At 38.0% G+C, this 17276-nt stretch overlaps 1 protein-coding gene across 3 annotated transcripts in view, besides 2 other annotated features; it reads right to left on the reverse strand.

Moving 5' to 3' along the window:
- The window catches only part of UBA6 (ubiquitin like modifier activating enzyme 6), an 88504-nt gene extending 71336 nt beyond the window's left edge, over positions 1-17168 (reverse strand). For all 3 annotated transcript variants that reach the window (NM_018227.6, XM_017008359.3, XM_047415893.1), the window contains exons 1-2: positions 17062-17168; positions 12658-12720 (exon numbers count right to left, since the gene is read on the reverse strand). In NM_018227.6, the coding sequence (NP_060697.4) occupies positions 12658-12720; positions 17062-17132 (134 nt within the window). In that variant the 5' untranslated portion in view covers positions 17133-17168. The remainder of the gene's footprint in view (positions 1-12657; positions 12721-17061) is intronic.
- Positions 16892-17061: a silencer, noted in NCBI's record as "silent region_15464". NCBI's record gives its function as "represses an Ori minimal core promoter by ATAC-STARR-seq in GM12878 lymphoblastoid cells {active_cell/tissue: GM12878}" and the evidence as "EXISTENCE:reporter gene assay evidence [ECO:0000049][PMID:35858748]".
- Positions 17192-17261: a silencer, noted in NCBI's record as "silent region_15465". NCBI's record gives its function as "represses an Ori minimal core promoter by ATAC-STARR-seq in GM12878 lymphoblastoid cells {active_cell/tissue: GM12878}" and the evidence as "EXISTENCE:reporter gene assay evidence [ECO:0000049][PMID:35858748]".

Genomic DNA, 17276 nt, shown 5'->3' on the forward strand with positions numbered 1-17276 from the left:
GAATTGCTTGAGCCAGGAGGTGGAGGTTGCAGTGAGCCAAGATCATGCCACTGCACTCCAGCTTGGGCGACGGGAATGAAATCCTGTTTCAAACAAAACAAAACAACCCCCTGCCCCCAGCCCAAAATCAAAGTGGATGCAGCAAGTTACCCTTCTTTTGGCAGTGTATCAAAGTCTCTGCAATTTCACAACCTGGCTGTGCAGGCTTGGTCTTTAGAAGGGCATGCTTACAGGGCTGGCCCTTGGTTGGCACTTGTAAACTTGGCTCTTGAAATATTTCCTACACTAATAAATCTAATTTTCTTTTTTTTCTAGTTACCTGAAATAAAACCCATTAATATTTAGATTTTAGTTTCTCAACTACTAATGTAAAATGTAACATTAAGAGCATCTCAAGTTTTGATAAGAGCACTTCATTATTTTCCCATTTTAATTATGATTCTTTTTTTATGTGTTAATCCAAAGTATATTTTGAAATTTCTAATTTTATGGGACATTTTTAAGTTATCGTTTGTATTAATTTCCCGCTTAAATGCAATGTGAATAGATATCACAATCTGTGTAACTCTTTAATATTTGAGAATTTCTTTGGTCAATTTTACAGTTGCATGTGTTCCTGAAAAGAATGTGGATTCTACAGCTGTTAAAGACACAAGATATGCATTAGGTTAATTTTAATAATCATGTTGATGAAATCTATACCTGTTTGGGTTTTTTGTCTGCTTGTTTTCTTGATTACTAAAAGCAACATTTCAAAAATCTTCCACTACAACCATAAATTTGTCTACTGTCTTTGTATCTCAGTACCTGAACTGTGCCTGGCATGTAATAATAACTGAGTTTTTACTATGCACCACATGTTGTTTTAAGTGTTTTACTTGTATTAACTCATTTATTCCTCACAAAAATACTATGAGATAATTTCTATTATTATTCTCATTTTTACAGATAGGAATACATAAGCACCTAGAATTAAGTAAGTAGTGGAGGTTAAGAGTCAATCCAGGCAGTCTAGCCTTAGCATCCATACTCTTAACTATTATGCCACAATGCATACAGATTAAGAAAGCCAAATCATTCCTCAAGGTTTATGAGAGAGAGAAAAAAACAACCATCAGTTCCCTGACCTAATTCTTTCCTACCCTGATTCCCACTCCCCAAAGATAACTAGTCTCAATTTTTTAGTCATTTCTCTTAATATTTACTCCCATATTTCTAAATAACACGTGTATACTTTTATTTCTTGATTTTTTGAGTTTTATATATTACCTATTAACTTCCTACTAAGAAAGATAAATGATCTTTCTGAAACAGATCTAGTCAAACCATTTTCTTGCTTAAAAAACCCCAGTGGTTTTCTATTTCCTTTACAATAAAGTCTAAATTCTTTAGTCACAAGGCATTCATGAACTAGTCCCTGCTTAGTTCTCTAGTGTCATCTTTTGCCTCAGGATGAATCATACCCAATTTAGATGAGACTGGACTTTTTTGAGTTGATGTTTGAACAAGTTCAGATTTTTTTTACTACTGGGAGGTAATAAAAGTATTTTGCATTATGAGGACAAAAATTTGGGGGGCCAGGAGCAAATGCTACACTTTGAATGTGTTTCCCGGAGTTTGTGTGTTGGAAACTTAAACCCCGTTACGTAGGACCTAATGGGAGGTGTTGCCTAGTGGGAGGTGTTTAGGTCATGAGGGCTCTACCCTCGTGAATTGATTAATACCATTATTGTAGGAGTGGTTTCATTATTGTGGGAGTGGGTTATATCTAAAAGTAGGTTCAGCCCCCTATTGCCCTCTCTTACTCTTGCCCTTCTGCCTTCCACCATGGGACGATGCAGTAATAAGCCCCTCACCAGATATGACCCCTTGATCTTACACTTCCTAGCCTCCATAACTGTGAGCCAAATAAATTTCTGTTTAGTCACCAAAGGGAAAGGTACTAATTAAGTGCCTTCTTTGTACCAAGTAATATGTCAGGTACTTTGCAGTTAAATGACACTTAAATGCTGTGAAGTTCATAATGTTAACAGGTAGTAAAGATGGGATTAAAGAGCTGAGAGTATAACTGCAAGTCCAGCATTGTTACATTACAGCTGACTCATACTAAGTGACCATATAGCAGTGAATGTAGCAGAAATCCCTATCGATTAAAAATTCACCCTTTTATGAAAGAACAACATCTCCCTATAGTTTTTACCCACTAGTCTTAGTTTTATTCCCTTGGGGCCATAGAGAACTTGTCTAAATCCTTCTTTGATGTAACACCCCTCCAAACATTTGAAGATGGCATTCAGGTTCTAGAGTTTTCTTTCTCTAAGCTAAACATCTCCAGTTCCTTAAACAATTCCAAGCATAACATCATTTTGAGTCCCCCTCAACATTAATCACTTTCTTCTGGACACACTTCATTATCTTCATCATGCACGCATATATTTATTAACATACCGATTTCAAGCCAGTCACTCGCTTGGGGTTCACTGTGCAGAGATCATAATAACAACAACTTCGTATGGCTGCTACGAGGATTACATATTAAATAAAATATGTAAACTACTAGAATCCCTGTGACATGGTACTGGGAGAGACAGATAGACAAAAGATGAGTGGTTGCCTGAAGAAATGAAAGTTGGAGTGAGAAGAAAAGAATTATAAACGGGCATAAATAAAATGTTTGGGTGTAGTAGGGTGCGATGGCTCACACCTGTAATCCCAGCAATTTGGGAGGCTGAAGCGGGAGGATCACTTGAGACCAGGAGTTTGAGACCAGCCTGGGCAATACGGTGAGACACCCACCTCTACATAAAAATGTGAAAATTAGCCAGGTGTGGTGGCACACACCTGTGGTCCTACCTTCTCAGGAGGCTGAGGTGGGAGGATTGCTTGAGCCTAACAGTTTGAGGTTACAGAGAGCTATGATCACGCCACTGCCCCCAAGCCTGGGCAACAGCAAGATCCTGTCTCTAAAAAAAAAAAAAAAAAAAAAAAAAAAAAAAAAAAAAATCAAAAACAACCTACCGTTTTTACATAAAATCTTTAAGACTATGTTTTTTTTTTTTTTTTTTTGAGACAGAGTCTCACTTTGTCGCCCAGGCTGGACTGCAGTGGTGCGATCTTGGCTCCCTGCAACCTCTGCCTCCCGGGTTCAAGTGATTCTCCTGTCTCAGCCTCCCGAGTAGCTGGGATTACAGGTGCGTGCCACCATGCCTGGCTAATTTTTGTATTTTTAGTAGAGAGGGGGTTTCACCATGTTGGTCAGGCTGGTCTCAAACTCCTGACCTTGTCATCCGCCTGCCTCAGCCTCCCAAAGTGCTGGGATTACAGGCGTCAGCCACTGCACCCGACCAATATTATCCTTAAGATATAAAATATTATTATTCCTATTTACACATGAGAAACTGTGTAAAAGAAAGATTAAGCAACTAGCTCCAGTTCATATAAAAGTCAGGATTGGGATATGAACTCTTACATCTGTCTCCAAAGGCCATGTTAATTCTACTGTACCAATGTTTCTCTAACAAGTAGATATTTGCTGAACATCTACTCATTTTACATTTAAAGTATGTAGTTGTATGCAGTTAAAAATGAAGGTCTTGAACTTGGAAGGAAAAATCTGAAGAGAGACTCAAATATCACTAACATAAAGAGATACCTAAAATCATGGGAATAAATGATGTGAACTAGAATATGAACTAAGAAAAATCCTCATAATTTAGCTCCCAGTCATAAGTTAGAATATGTGGTATTTGGTTTTCTGTTCCTACATTAGTTTGCTAAGGATAATCGCTTCCAGCTCCAACCACGTCCCTGCAAAGGACATGATCTCATTCTTTTAAATAATCAGTACCACAAACCCACATGACGCAAGTTTACATATGTAGCAACCCTGCATTTGTACCCCTGAATTTAACAGTTAAAAAAGAAAAAGAAAAATCCTAAAGTTGGAACCTGGCATTTATGATGCAGGAAAAAAGAATTTAAGAAAAATATCTGAGAAAGAAGAGTCATAGTAGTAAAAGCAAATTCAAAAAGACTGGTATTCCGGAAGCTAGAGGAAAGCGTTTCCTCTAGGATTACACTGGAATAAAAGGTTTAGATGCTTAAAGTAGTATTACATCTAAAGACCTAGGAATGTCCTGATTCTGCTTTGATATTAACCCTTTCTTCATATAGTGATCTCTACAAAGGAAATTATATGCAAGGAAGAACAGAATAGATAAAAATACCATGTTATTATCATCTGAATCAGCCTTAATCACATTCAATGGAGGGTACTTTCATAAAAGCAGCTAGAAAACCAAGCCTGGAGTCCTAAATTGGGACTCATTCATTTCTTCAGATACATCTTGTGATCAGCAGACTCACGCACATCTTCAGAGAAAAAGAAAGAAATGGCCAGAGAATAGGCTCAAGTCTAATTCACCTAACAATAAAGACCAAAAATAGAGAGAACTCAGAATACCATCAGAGGTAGTAAAAAAATAAAACCCCTCTGAGAGAGACAGAATGCAGAATACTATCAGAGGCAGTCCAAAATAAAACCCCTTTGAGAGAGAGAACTCAGAATACCATCAGAGTCAGTCCAAAATAAAACCCCTCTGAGATTCTAAGAAAAAGTTTAGAATCTGTTGATCAGTAAACTATGAGGTGGCTTAAGATTCAGTAGTAATAAGAAAAATAAAATTTTTCTCCAGAAAGATGCTTTGTTCAACTGGGTACTAAAATTGCTCTAAAAGATATTTCCTAGTTAAATATATATGTACAAATATTAAAAACATCTTAGTTGATATTTAAGATTTGTAGATTTTTTGAAAGGTTTCGTTTTATAGGGAAATCTAATTGTTTAGAAGGAAAATTATAACCTAAGATGCAGTTATTTATGCCTGTAAAAAACCTGTGTATCTAGTAAATACTAACTAAATTTCAATAATAGCATCCAGGAAAACAAAAACAATACTGGATATTTACTAGATTTCAATTACACAGAGTTCCTGACTTATGATGGTCTAACGTACTGATTTTTCAACTCTACAATGGTGCAGAAGTGACACACCTTCAGTAGAAACCATACTTTGGGTACCCATACAACCGTTCTGATTTTTACTTTCAGTACAGTATTCTCAATAAATTCTATGAGATATTCAACACTTTATTATAAAATAGTCTTTGTGTTAGATGATTTTGCCTAACTATAGGCTAATGTAAGTGTTCCAAGAATATCTAAGATACGCTAGGCTAAGATGTAATGTTCAGGTTAGGTGTACTATATGCATTTTCAACTTAATAATATTTTCAACTTATGGGTTTATCAGGACATAACTCCATTTTAAATCAAGAAGCATCTGTATAGTATACAAGTATCTAGGAGGAAATAAACAACATTTGAAGTATCAACCTTACATATCTCAACATATAAGATGCCAGAAAGTTACACTCTTTAATTTTCAGGAAAAATGAATTTACATGTATCTGGGCTGTTATAAAGACACTCATTTGCTCAAAATGCCCCAAATGCCCCAATTCCTGAGAAAAGAGAAATGTTTGTTTCTCTATCTAACTTTTTTGGCTGTCAGAATTTTCCAGATATAAAGGATGGTCTTATTGTAGCAGCTTCATGTCAGAATTCAGAAGTCAGGGAATGTGGTACCTGGCCAGTAATACTGGTTTTTGCTTAAGGATGGAATGTGTAAGTGCCTTCTTAGTATCATCACTTCTTCTATTGTTAGTACCATCTGCACCTTTTTCAGACTTTTTTGTCATATCCTTAGTTTTGGTTCCTGCCAACTACTTAGGCAACGTACCTAGTCTTAGGTTCCAGACTACAAGCCAATCTGAACCCACTGTCTTCCCTAATCATTCAATAATCATTTAATGAGTATCTTCTAAGACTCAGACACTGTCACAGTCTACGACTTAGAAAAGCTCATGGTCTGACAGAGTTGACATACATGTGAACAAATACTATGTGATAATGTGCTTATTTAATAGCAATAAAAATAAGATGCTTTAGGGCTAAGCAGAAAGGAGGAGAAGTAACTCAGGCAAGATATCACAGAGCAGACATAGGAGTGAGTTCTTAAAGGATCACTGGAAGGTATTTTTGAGGCACAAAAGAGCATTACAGGAACAGACAGTTGAGGTAAAAAGGTATAAACTGCAATTACCTATCTTATCTTTGATAAAAAAGTAGTCTAGTATGGCCAGTGTATTCAGAGGAAAAGGTGGTTGGGGCCTTCAATAAATGGTGCTGGGAAAACTAGATTTCCAAATGCAAAAGAATGAAACTGGACCCTTATACCATACAAAATAATCAAATCAAAATGAATCAAAGACTTAAATGTAAGATCTGCAACTATAAAACTCCCAGAAGAAAACAGGAAAGAGGCCTCATAACACTGGTGTTGGCACAGATTTCCTGGATAACACCAAAGGCACACACAACAAAAGCAAAAATTGTCAAGTGGGACTATATGAAACTAAAAACCAGTAAAGGAAACAGTCAACAAAATCAAAAGACAACCTACAGAATGAGAGAAAGTATTTATAAACCATGTATGTGATAAGGGGTTAATAATATCCAAAGGAATGCCTATAACTCAATACCAAAAAACCCCTGAACTGACCCAATTTTTAAAAATGGACAAAGAGTTTGAATAGATCTTTCTCCAAAAACATGCACATAGCCAACAAGTATATGAAAAGGTGCTCAACATTCACTAATCATCAAATACAAACCAAAACCACAATGAGAGATCACCTCACACCTGTATGGATGACCATTATAAAACAAAACAAAACAAAACAAAACATAACAAGTATTGGCAACAATGTGGAGAAATTGGAACTTTTGTGCACTGTTGGAAATGTAGAATGGTGCAGCTGCCATGGAAAACAGTATGAAGCTTCCTCAAAAATTAAAAAATAGAATTACCACATAATCCAGCAATTCCATTTTGGGTTATTTCTCCAAAAGAATTAGAAACAAGATCTTGAAGAAATATTTGCTACACAGATCTGCTATATGACAATGTACACAGAGTTAAAAATATAGTTGTCCCGTGAACAACATGGGTTTCAAACACACAGGTCCATTTATATGCAGATTTTTTTCAATAAATATACTGAAAATTTTTTTGGACATTTGTGACAACTTGAAAAAAACTCACGGATGAACTTTGTAGCCTAGAAATACCCAAAAATTAAGAAAATGTCATGAATGCATGAAATCTATGTACATATTAGTCTATTTTATCATTTACTACCATAAAATATACACAAATTATAAAAAGTTAAAATTTATCAAAACTATGCGTACACTTACAGACCATAGATGTCGCCATTTGCAGTTAAGAGGAATGTAAACAGATGTAAAGATGCAGTATTCAGTCATAAGTGCATAAAAGTCACTGTAGTACATACTGCACTACTGTAATAATTTTGTAGCTACTTCCAGTTGCTATTGTGGTGAGCTTAAGTGATGTATCTGGTTAAAGCACATGTGACTCTATTCATCTTTGCCTGAGCAGTTCCTCTCTCCAGTAAATTGAATATTGCAGGAAAAAGTGATGTCTTGAGATTCTTGCATATTTTTTCATCATGTTTAATGTGCAATACTGTAAACCTTGAATGACATCATGGGACCCATACAAAGTGCCACCAGTAATGTTGCAAGTGCTCCCAAGAAGCTGAGAAAAGTCATGACATTACAATAAAAAGTTGAATTGCTTGATTATGTACTGTAGACTGAGGTCTGCAGCTATGGTTGCCTGACATTTCAAGATAAAATGAATCCAGTGGAAGGACCATTGTAAAAAAAAAAAAGAAAAGCCATCATTGTAACTACACCAGCAAGTATGAAAACCTTACACTTTTTGTGAAAGATTTTTTTATCTTATATTGAAAATGCAGCACTGATATGGGTGCAGGATTGCTGAAAGAAAGTCATAGACTCTAACATGATTTGAGAAAAAGCGAAGTCATTATAAGACCACTTAAAGCAAAAAGAAGGTAAAGGATATAAAGCTGTAGAATTCTTTTTTTTCCATAGGTTACTGGGGTACACAGGTGGTGTTTGGTTACTTAAGTTCTTTAGTGGTGATTTGTGCGATTTTGGTGCACCCATCACCCAAGCAGTAAAGCTGTAGAATTTAATGCCAGCAAAGGATAGTTTGATAACTTTAGAAAGAGGTTTGTCTTAAAAAAAAGTCAGACACAACATGAGAAGCAGCTTCTGCCGATCAAGAGGCAGCAATGAGTTTCTAGACGCCATAAGGAAAATCACTGAAGAGAAAGGATATCTACCTGAATAGGTTTTTAATGTAGAAGAAAGTGCTCTATTTTGAAAAAAATTGCCACAAAGGACATTTATTAGTAAGGAAGAGAAGCAAGCACCAGGATTTAAGGCAGAAATGGATAGTTAACTCTACTGTTTTCTGCAAATGCTTTCAGGTTTATGATCAGGACTGCCCTTACATATAAAGCTGCTAACCCCTGAGCATTGGAGGGAAAAGATAAACACCAGCGGCCAGTCCTCCGGCTACATAACAAGCAGGCCTGGACAAGAACCCTTTTTCTGGATTGGTTCCATTGATGCTTTGATTCTGAGGTCAGGAAGTACCTTGCCAGCAAGAACTTTTAAAGTTCTTTTGCTATTGGACAATACACCTGGCCACCCAGAACCCCAAAGTTCAACAATGAAGGTGCTGAAGTGGTTTACTTGCTTCAAAACACAACATCTCAAATTCAGCTTCTAGATCAGGGCATCATAAAGGACCTTTAAGGCTCATTACACAAGGTACTCTATAGAAAGGATTGTCAATGCTATGGAAGAGAACCCCAAGAAAGAGAACATCATTAAAGTCTGGAAGATTATACCATTGAAGATGCTATCGTTGTTACTGACATCAGACAATCTGGCAGAAGGGTTCCGACGATTCAAGATTGCATTGATTTCTTTAATGACATGGACCCTTCTACAACAGGGGCACCAAAAAGAAACTAAAGAAAATGACAGGAGGATCAGTATTGTATAGAAACATTTTTCCAGAAATGAGAAAGCAAAAAAAGTCACATAGTAGTTACATATTTCCATAGTTACACTGTGTGTGCCTGCCTCTCTTTCCCTACCCTTCTGCCTCCACCTCTTTTGATTCTGCCACCCCTAAGACAACAAAACCAACTCCTCCCCTTCCTCCTCCTCAGCCTACTCAACATGAAGACAACAAAGATGAAGACCTTTATGATAATCCAGTTCCATCTAATGAACAATAAATATATTTTCTCTTTCTTACATGATTTTCTTAACATTTTATTTTCTCTAGCTTACTTTATTCTAAGAATACTGTGTATATATATATATACAGTATATAATACATATAATATTAAAAATGTGTGTTAATTGATTATTTACATTATCAGTAAAATTTCCAGTCAATAGTAAGGCTATTAGCATTTAAGCTTTGGGAGAGTCAAAAGTCATATGTGGATTTTCGACTGCACAAGAGGTAGGGTGGTAGGGGAGTTGGCACTCCTAACTCCTTCATTGTTCAAGTGTCAACTATACTATACTACACACTTAAAAACTTGTTAGTAGGGTAGAGTTCATGTTATGTGTTTTTACTACAATAATAACTTTTTAGAAGGTAAGTTGGAGTTATGTTCAAAATAACTCGGTAAGCTATAGTATTTGGACTTGTACTATGAGACAAAATGGTCGGAACTGTGGCTGTGTGAAAGAGAACGGAGAGAAAAGAGAACTTCTGGAATTTATCTTTATCTTACCCTACCTTCATCAAGCTTACTGATGAAATCTATCTCCCTGAGATATTAAGAGGCTAAGGATCCTCATTTCATGCCTTGTCCCTAAAATAAATCATTGTCCAAAGTCCTAGGTCTTATACTAGTCCCCATAAGCAACAGATACAGATTTTTAAAAAGAGAAAATACAGCTGGGCACGGTGGCTCGCGCCTGTAATCCCAGCACTTTGGGAAGCCAAGGTGGGCAGATCATGAGGTCAAGAGACTGAGATCATCCTGGCCAACATGGTGAAACCCCGCCTCTACTAAAAAAAATACAAAAATTAGCTGGGTGTGGTGGTGCATGCCTGTAGTCCCAGCTACTCAGGAGGCTGAGGCAGGAGAATTGCTTGAACCCAAGAGGCGGAGGTTGCCATGAGCCGAGATCGCGCCACTGCACTCCAGCCTGGATGACAGAGCAAGACTCCATCTCAAAAAAAAAAAAAAAAAAAAAAAAAAAAAGAAAAAATACAAAACTACCAAATCTTCAGATTCAGTCACTATAAAAAAAAAAACCCTCAAACATTTAAGTTAATTTTTAAAATCTAAGAAAATAAGAGCTGGTTATTGTGTGAAAATCTCACATTTTGGCATTTTGGTCTTTGTATTTCTTTTTTTTTTTTTCTTGACATGGAGTTTTGCTCTGTAGCCCAGGCTGGAACACAGTGGTGCCATCTCAGCTCACTGCAAGCTCTGCCTCCCCGGTTCATGCCATTCTCCTGCCTCAGCCTCCCGACTAGCTGGGATTACAGGCGCCCGCCACCGCCACCACACCCGGCTAATTTTTTGTATTTTTAGTAGAGACGGGGTTTCACTGTGTTAGCCAGGATGGTCTCGATCTCCTGACCTCGTGATCCACCCGCCTCGGCCTCCCAAAGTGCTGGGATTACAGGCATGAGCCACTGTGCCTGGCCACATCTTTGTATTTCTACTAAGAAAACCTATATGTAGTCAGTAACTCTTTTAGTATTCCCTAATAATTCACTCTTTTAGTACCCACATAAATTTCTGGCTTCCTGCCCTCACTATGACAAATTCTTAAGGAAGATATTAAAACTCAAATATGCACATTGGTAAACAACTAGATGTTTGCAATAAGACACGCATACCAAGTGCTAACAGCTACACCAAAAGATACTCTCCGTCAAACAAAAGAAAATGGCTTACCTCTAATAATAACAGCTAAACTGCTATATTCTATAACTCTCAGTAAAGCAAACTGCAGCCTACTTACGTAGCATTGTAAATGGAAAGTTTAGTCACTGGCCTACTGAAAATTATGTTTATCAGCATTATAGGGTTGGAGGGACATTAAAAAAGTTTCACAAGGATTAAACTAAAAAATGAATAAAATTAGTCAATACTATCTCAAAGAGGTGCCATTTGTTAAACCAAGAAAAACATGACCAAAAGGACATTAAGAATATAATTATAGATTAAGAATCCCAACGTAAGAGTCCCACTCTCCCTTTTTGCTTATTATCTTCAAGCCACACTGACCTGCTTGCTGTTTTGCAAGAAGGCAAGCTTGCTCTCATTTCAGAGATTTTACACTATTTCTTCTGCTTAGAATGTTCTTTCTTAAAAATCTTGAAATAGTTGACTTCTTATCACTTAAGCCTCTATTAAAATATTGTATTACAAATATCACACACATCATTTCTGATCACCCTATCAATAAAATGGCTACTCTTATCCTTAGGTCACTGCCTAACTCATTAACCTGTCATAGTTTCTTCAAATCACTTACCATTAACTGTTTGTCTGCCACTCCTATCAAAAAAATGTATGGTCTTAAAAACTCACTACTGTAATCCAAATACCTAAAACAGTACCAGGCATTTAATAATAATAGATAACCCTGTGCTACACACTGTTTTAAGTGCTTTAAATGTACTAATTCAGTTAACCCTTATACAACAACTTAAGGTGACTTCTAAACCATATTTTATAATCAAGAAATCATCTTTAAAATAATTTTCACATGAGCAAGATTGTTAGTCTTCTATCTCTTTTCCCAAGCATAGAGTACAAAACAGGATTTGGACTCAACATGCCAGATGGTATGTATTAGCTCCTAATAAAGTGCCCATTATTGACTCTGCATCTTTTTCTTTACTTTAAAAAGTATTCAAATTTCATGAAAAAGTATAGTTTAAAAAGTCTCATCAAATTTCATTCAAATCACAACTATTCAATCATACAATACTTTAATTACTAAAAAAGTATTCCAATTTCCTGAAAAAGCATAGTTTTAAAAGTCCCATCAAATTCCATTCAAATTACAACTCTTCAATCACACAGTATTTCTCCACTGTCTATAAATTACAGAACAGGAAATATTTTAATGAGATTACAATGAAGTAATATTCTCTAGATGTTATTGTATGACTAAAGTGAAATATTATTCTTCATCAACTCCTGCACTATCAAGAACTTAAATACGTATTATTGTCCAAAAATGAAAGGGTTATTTTGCAAGGGCAGCAAAATCCTTCTTAGTCCTATCACCTAAACCTAAAACAACTGAGATTTAAATATTATCCGAATGTAGATAAAAAAAATCACAGAAACCCTAATTTTAACTTGAGAGGAACTCTTTATATATATGTGTGTATATATACACACACATATACATATATACACACATATATATACACATATACACATATATATACATATACATATATACACATATATACACACACATATATATACACACATACATATATACATACACACACACACACACACACACACATATAATTCTGCATAGGCTGAATGGTATCTTCAAAGAGACTACTTGATTATTTGAGAACAATTAATGGGGAAAATAAGTTTCAGTTTCTATGAGATTCTTACCTATACAATGCATCATCGATTTCCACAGATGCTGTTGACATAATGGGCAAATTTTTATTTGTGCTGGAAAAAAAAACATGGTTATTAAATATTCACATTTTATAATGTAATATTTGATTACTTGTGTGATCAGATTCACCAGTTACTAAAGGTTTTCACAAACCAAACATATATTTTATTAACAACCACTTTACTTATATTTTTTAAATGGCCTGAAATTAAATTATCGGATTGCTTGTTCTATCCTGTGTAAATTTTAAGATTACAGAGCTCATCATCTTTTATTCTCAGATCTCAGGTGTTGTTTTATCACTGGTACATAAATACATATATATATATTTTGTTGTTGTTGTTGTTTGTTTGTTTGTTTTCTTTTTTGAGATGGGAGTCTCACTCTGTTACCGAGACTGGAGTGCAGAGGCACGATCTTGGCTTACTGCAACGTCCACCTCCTGGTTTCAGACGATTTTCATGCCTCAGCCTCCCAAGTGGCTGGGACTACAAGTGCACACCACCACATCCAATTAATTTTGTAATTTTAGTAGAGATGGGGTTTTACCATGTTGGCCAGGCTGGTCTTGAACTACTGACCTCAAGAGATCCACCCGCCTCAGCGTCCCAAAGTGCTAGGATTACAGGCGTGGGCCACTGTGCCCGCCTGTTTGGTACATATATTCTAATGGATCTGTATTTCAGCAATTCTGTACCATGAACTTTCTCTATATATACAGTCTTCCCAGATAAACTCATTCAATCCTATTGATGAATATATATTGATTATATTGAAACTTATTTCTCCACGTGTGATCTTTCCTCTGACCTCCAGATTGTATACAACTGCCAAAACAATAACTATTCTGATGTCTTAACTGGTATCACAAACATAACAAACTCCAAAGAGAATTCAATTACCCCTGCTTAATCTATTCTTCCTGTCTTTCCTAACTCATTTTCCGCTACCATCATTTACTGGGTTGGGCCTGAAATCTAGGGATCTTCTTGCTTAAATCATTCCCCAGTTTTCTCCATCTGAGACCTGTTAGCTCTACCTTCATAAGATATCTCAAACCTGATCATTTCTTACTATTTCAATCAGTACAATCTCAAGCCAAACCATCATCACATTTCACCTGGGCTATTTCAAAGACCTAGCTAGTCTCCTTATTTCCAGTATTGCCCTTCCCCTTTATTCTCCATAAAACAGTCTAAATATCTTAAAATGCAGTCAGAAATTATTCCCTGAATTTGGACTACCCTTCAGTGGATTTCCTTTACTCTTAAAACAAAATTCAAACACCTCACTATGCTTGAGAGGGCCAATGTGTCCTGTCTCCCAATTATCTCTCCAATTTCAACTCCCACCAGTCTCCGTTTTCGCTTACTATCTTCAAGCCACACTGACTTGTTTGCTGTTTCGCAAGAAGGCAAGCTTGCTCTCATTTCAGAGTTTTTACCTATTTCTTCTGCTTAGAATGTTCTTTCTTAAAATCTCGGAATAGCTGACTTCTTGTCACTTAAGCCTCTATTAAAATATTGTGTCACAAATACCACACACCTCATTCCTGATCACCCTATCAATAAAATGGCTACTCTTATCCTTAGGTTGCTGCCTAACTCATTAACCTGTCAGTTTCTTCAAATCACTTACCGTTAACTGTCTGCCACTACTACCAAAAAAATGTATGGTCTGTTAAAAACTCACTACTGTATTCCAAATACCTAAAACAGTACCAGGCATTTAATAATAATAGATAACCCTGTGCTACATATTTAAGTGCTTTAGATGTACTTATTCAGTTAACCCTTACAACAACCTTGTCCAAACAGTGGGCAAGCACTATTGCTATCTCCAACGAACAGATGGAAAAAAGAGGCTGAGGGAGGTTAACTTAAAATTTGCCCAAAGTCACAGAGCAGGCAAATGGCACTGCCAGGATCTGAACCCAGGCAGTCTAGCTCTTGACTACCACACATACTGCCTACTGTTTCTGATATTAGACATAAAGGAAACACTTAAAAAAACCTGTTAAATGGGATGGGCGCGGTGGCTCATGCTTGTAATCCCAGCACTTTGGGAGGCCAAGGCAGGCGGACCACCTGAAGTCAGGAGTTCGAGACCAGCCTGACCAACGTGGTGAAACCCTGTCTCTACTAAAAATACAAAAATTAGCCAGATGTAGTAGCAGGCGCCTGTATTCCCAGCTACTTGGGAGGCTGAGGTGGGAGAATCGCTTGAACCCGGGAGGAGGAGGCTGCAGTGAGCCAAGATCCCACCACTGTACTCCAGCCTGGGTGACAAGAGCAAGACTCTGTCAAAAAACAAACAAACAAAACAAAACAAAAAAACCCTGTTAAATGAATAAATTTTAAAGGAAAAAAACTAATCTAAATATGCAAATCTGACAAAGTATACTTATTATAGTAACATATTATTTATAGCAGTGCTCGTCCCATTTTCACAGCATGGCCTTCAAAAAACGTATCTGTACTAAACACTGGCAAGCAGAGATAATTCCCAGGTACAGGGAACCAGTCTGGAGCATTTGGAGCTGAACCACTGTGAGAGCTGAGATCAATATACTGGCAGAAGTGGAGGCCATTCCTAGTTCTGAGAAGCTCTAGTTGTCAATTAAAAGATTCTAAAAACAATGCGATGGCATCAAATTCAGGCTTGGAATCCAACTTTCTAGTCCTAGCATTGATAAATAAGCCAAAGAATTTGTAAACAAAGGTAATTAAAATGTTATCATTTATCTCACCAAACACTGGCACATATCAAATGATACCAGCTTCTAGCTAATTAAACGGATAGCTATTAAAAAAACTGATTCCAATTACCAAGGCAAATCAGAAGATAGCTGTGTTCTAAGAGATCACCTACCTAATAAAAAACACACACATACACAATATACCCTGTTTGGGCATTGTAACAAAATATAAAAATTAACAAAATTTGTTTCTTTTCTTTTTTTTTGAGACAGGGTCTCTCTCTGTCACCCAGACTGGAGTGCAGTGGCACGATCTCGGCTCACTGCAGCCTCGATCTCTCTAGACTCAAGCGATCCTCTCATCTTAGCCTCCCGAGTAGCTGGGACTACAGGCGTGCATCACCTACGCCCAGCTAATTTTTTTGTATTTTGTAGAGACGCGGTTTCGCCATGTTGCCCAGGCTAGTCTAAGAACTCCTGAGCTCAAGCGACCCGCCTGCTTCGACCTCCCAAAGCGCTGGGATTGCAAGCGTTTGAGCCACTGCGCCCGGCCAAAGTTTTTTATTATCTACTTTCCTATCATTTTATCCCTAGTACACTTTCACTTGCTGTTTTCCTTGCATGGCGGGGGCAATAGGCCTGGTGGGTAAATCTGAATAAAAACGAGAACAGCTGCAGTCTAACTAGCTCTGCCACTTAATGGCGTGACTGGCCCTTTTCAGAAAGTTGTGCCTCACTGGAATGTTTCAAAAATATGTAAAAATAATATGATCTATAAGACAATCAAAAACGCTTCAAATAAGGCGCGGGTTATATTACATAATATCCCTCCACTCTGGCAGTGTTGGCAATGGCAGACAACACCATGAAACTGAAAGCATCCCTTCAGTCTGAAACTGGCGAAAAGGCTACAGGTTTACAAAGTCTCACATCAGCTGAAAATAATACATCCATCAATTCTATCTTTGGCATGGTGTATTCTGACAGTGGTGGATAGAATGTAACCACTTGCTTTATTAATTATGAGATGATTGAAAGAGGAACTACTAACCAAGAAATTGGTAAAGGCCTAGCACAAATATTTTCCCCCTAATTTTACAGGGGCGGGAAAGACCTGAAGAACTTCAAAACCAAGTGGGAAATAAGAATGGGTAACTTGTGTATTTTTTTTTCCTGGCTTTTTTTTTTTCCTTCTTCCGAAGTCAACAAAGGCCTCAGGGTGTCCAGATTGCTACTGATTCATTCTTACCAAGTTCCTTCTGGTAATAGTTTTCAAAAGAGGATCTCAGTGGAGGTGCACAGTGGCGCTCCTAGCTTTCTTTTTACGGAAAGGAGGAAAGGTGCTTGGCACCAGTCGGGGAAGCTCACGCCAAGTGACCGAGACCAGAACTCGCTCTCGACCGGAGCCCCCCAAGTCTGGTGACTTGGAGGAAGGAGGATCCCGAATCCCAGCCAGAACTGAGAAAGCCCTCAAAGGTGCGGAAAGGGGACTTTTCCCTCAGGAAAGCCGGCAACAGCAGAGGCCCTAGCCCACGTCGCCACACCCACTCCGCGCGCGCCCCTCGCCTCCCAGGGCCGGCTCTGCTCGGCCCCGCGGCCTCTCGGGCGCCCCCAGCCCGCCGGAAAGAAAGAAGCAGAAACCCGGAGCCTGGGTCCCACCCGCGACCCCTCACCTTCGCCCTTCTCGTCCTCTCACCTGCCAGTCCCCCAGGAAGAACAGGACGCCTCTTCCCCCTGATGGGCGGCCACAGGCTCGGATCCTTCCATTGCCGCCTGAGACACCGCCGCCGGCTACTGGAAGGTAGGAAGGGGCGGGACCGTGGGGGGGTCAAGGGGCGGGCGGAGACGTCATCAGAGGGGGCGGGCCTGGGGAAGCTAGGAGCCCGGCAGCGCCTTCCCGTCAACCCTAGG

Source organism: Homo sapiens, chromosome 4 (genome assembly GCF_000001405.40).
Source record: "Homo sapiens chromosome 4, GRCh38.p14 Primary Assembly".
In the NCBI taxonomy this organism is placed as follows: Eukaryota; Metazoa; Chordata; class Mammalia; order Primates; family Hominidae; genus Homo; species Homo sapiens.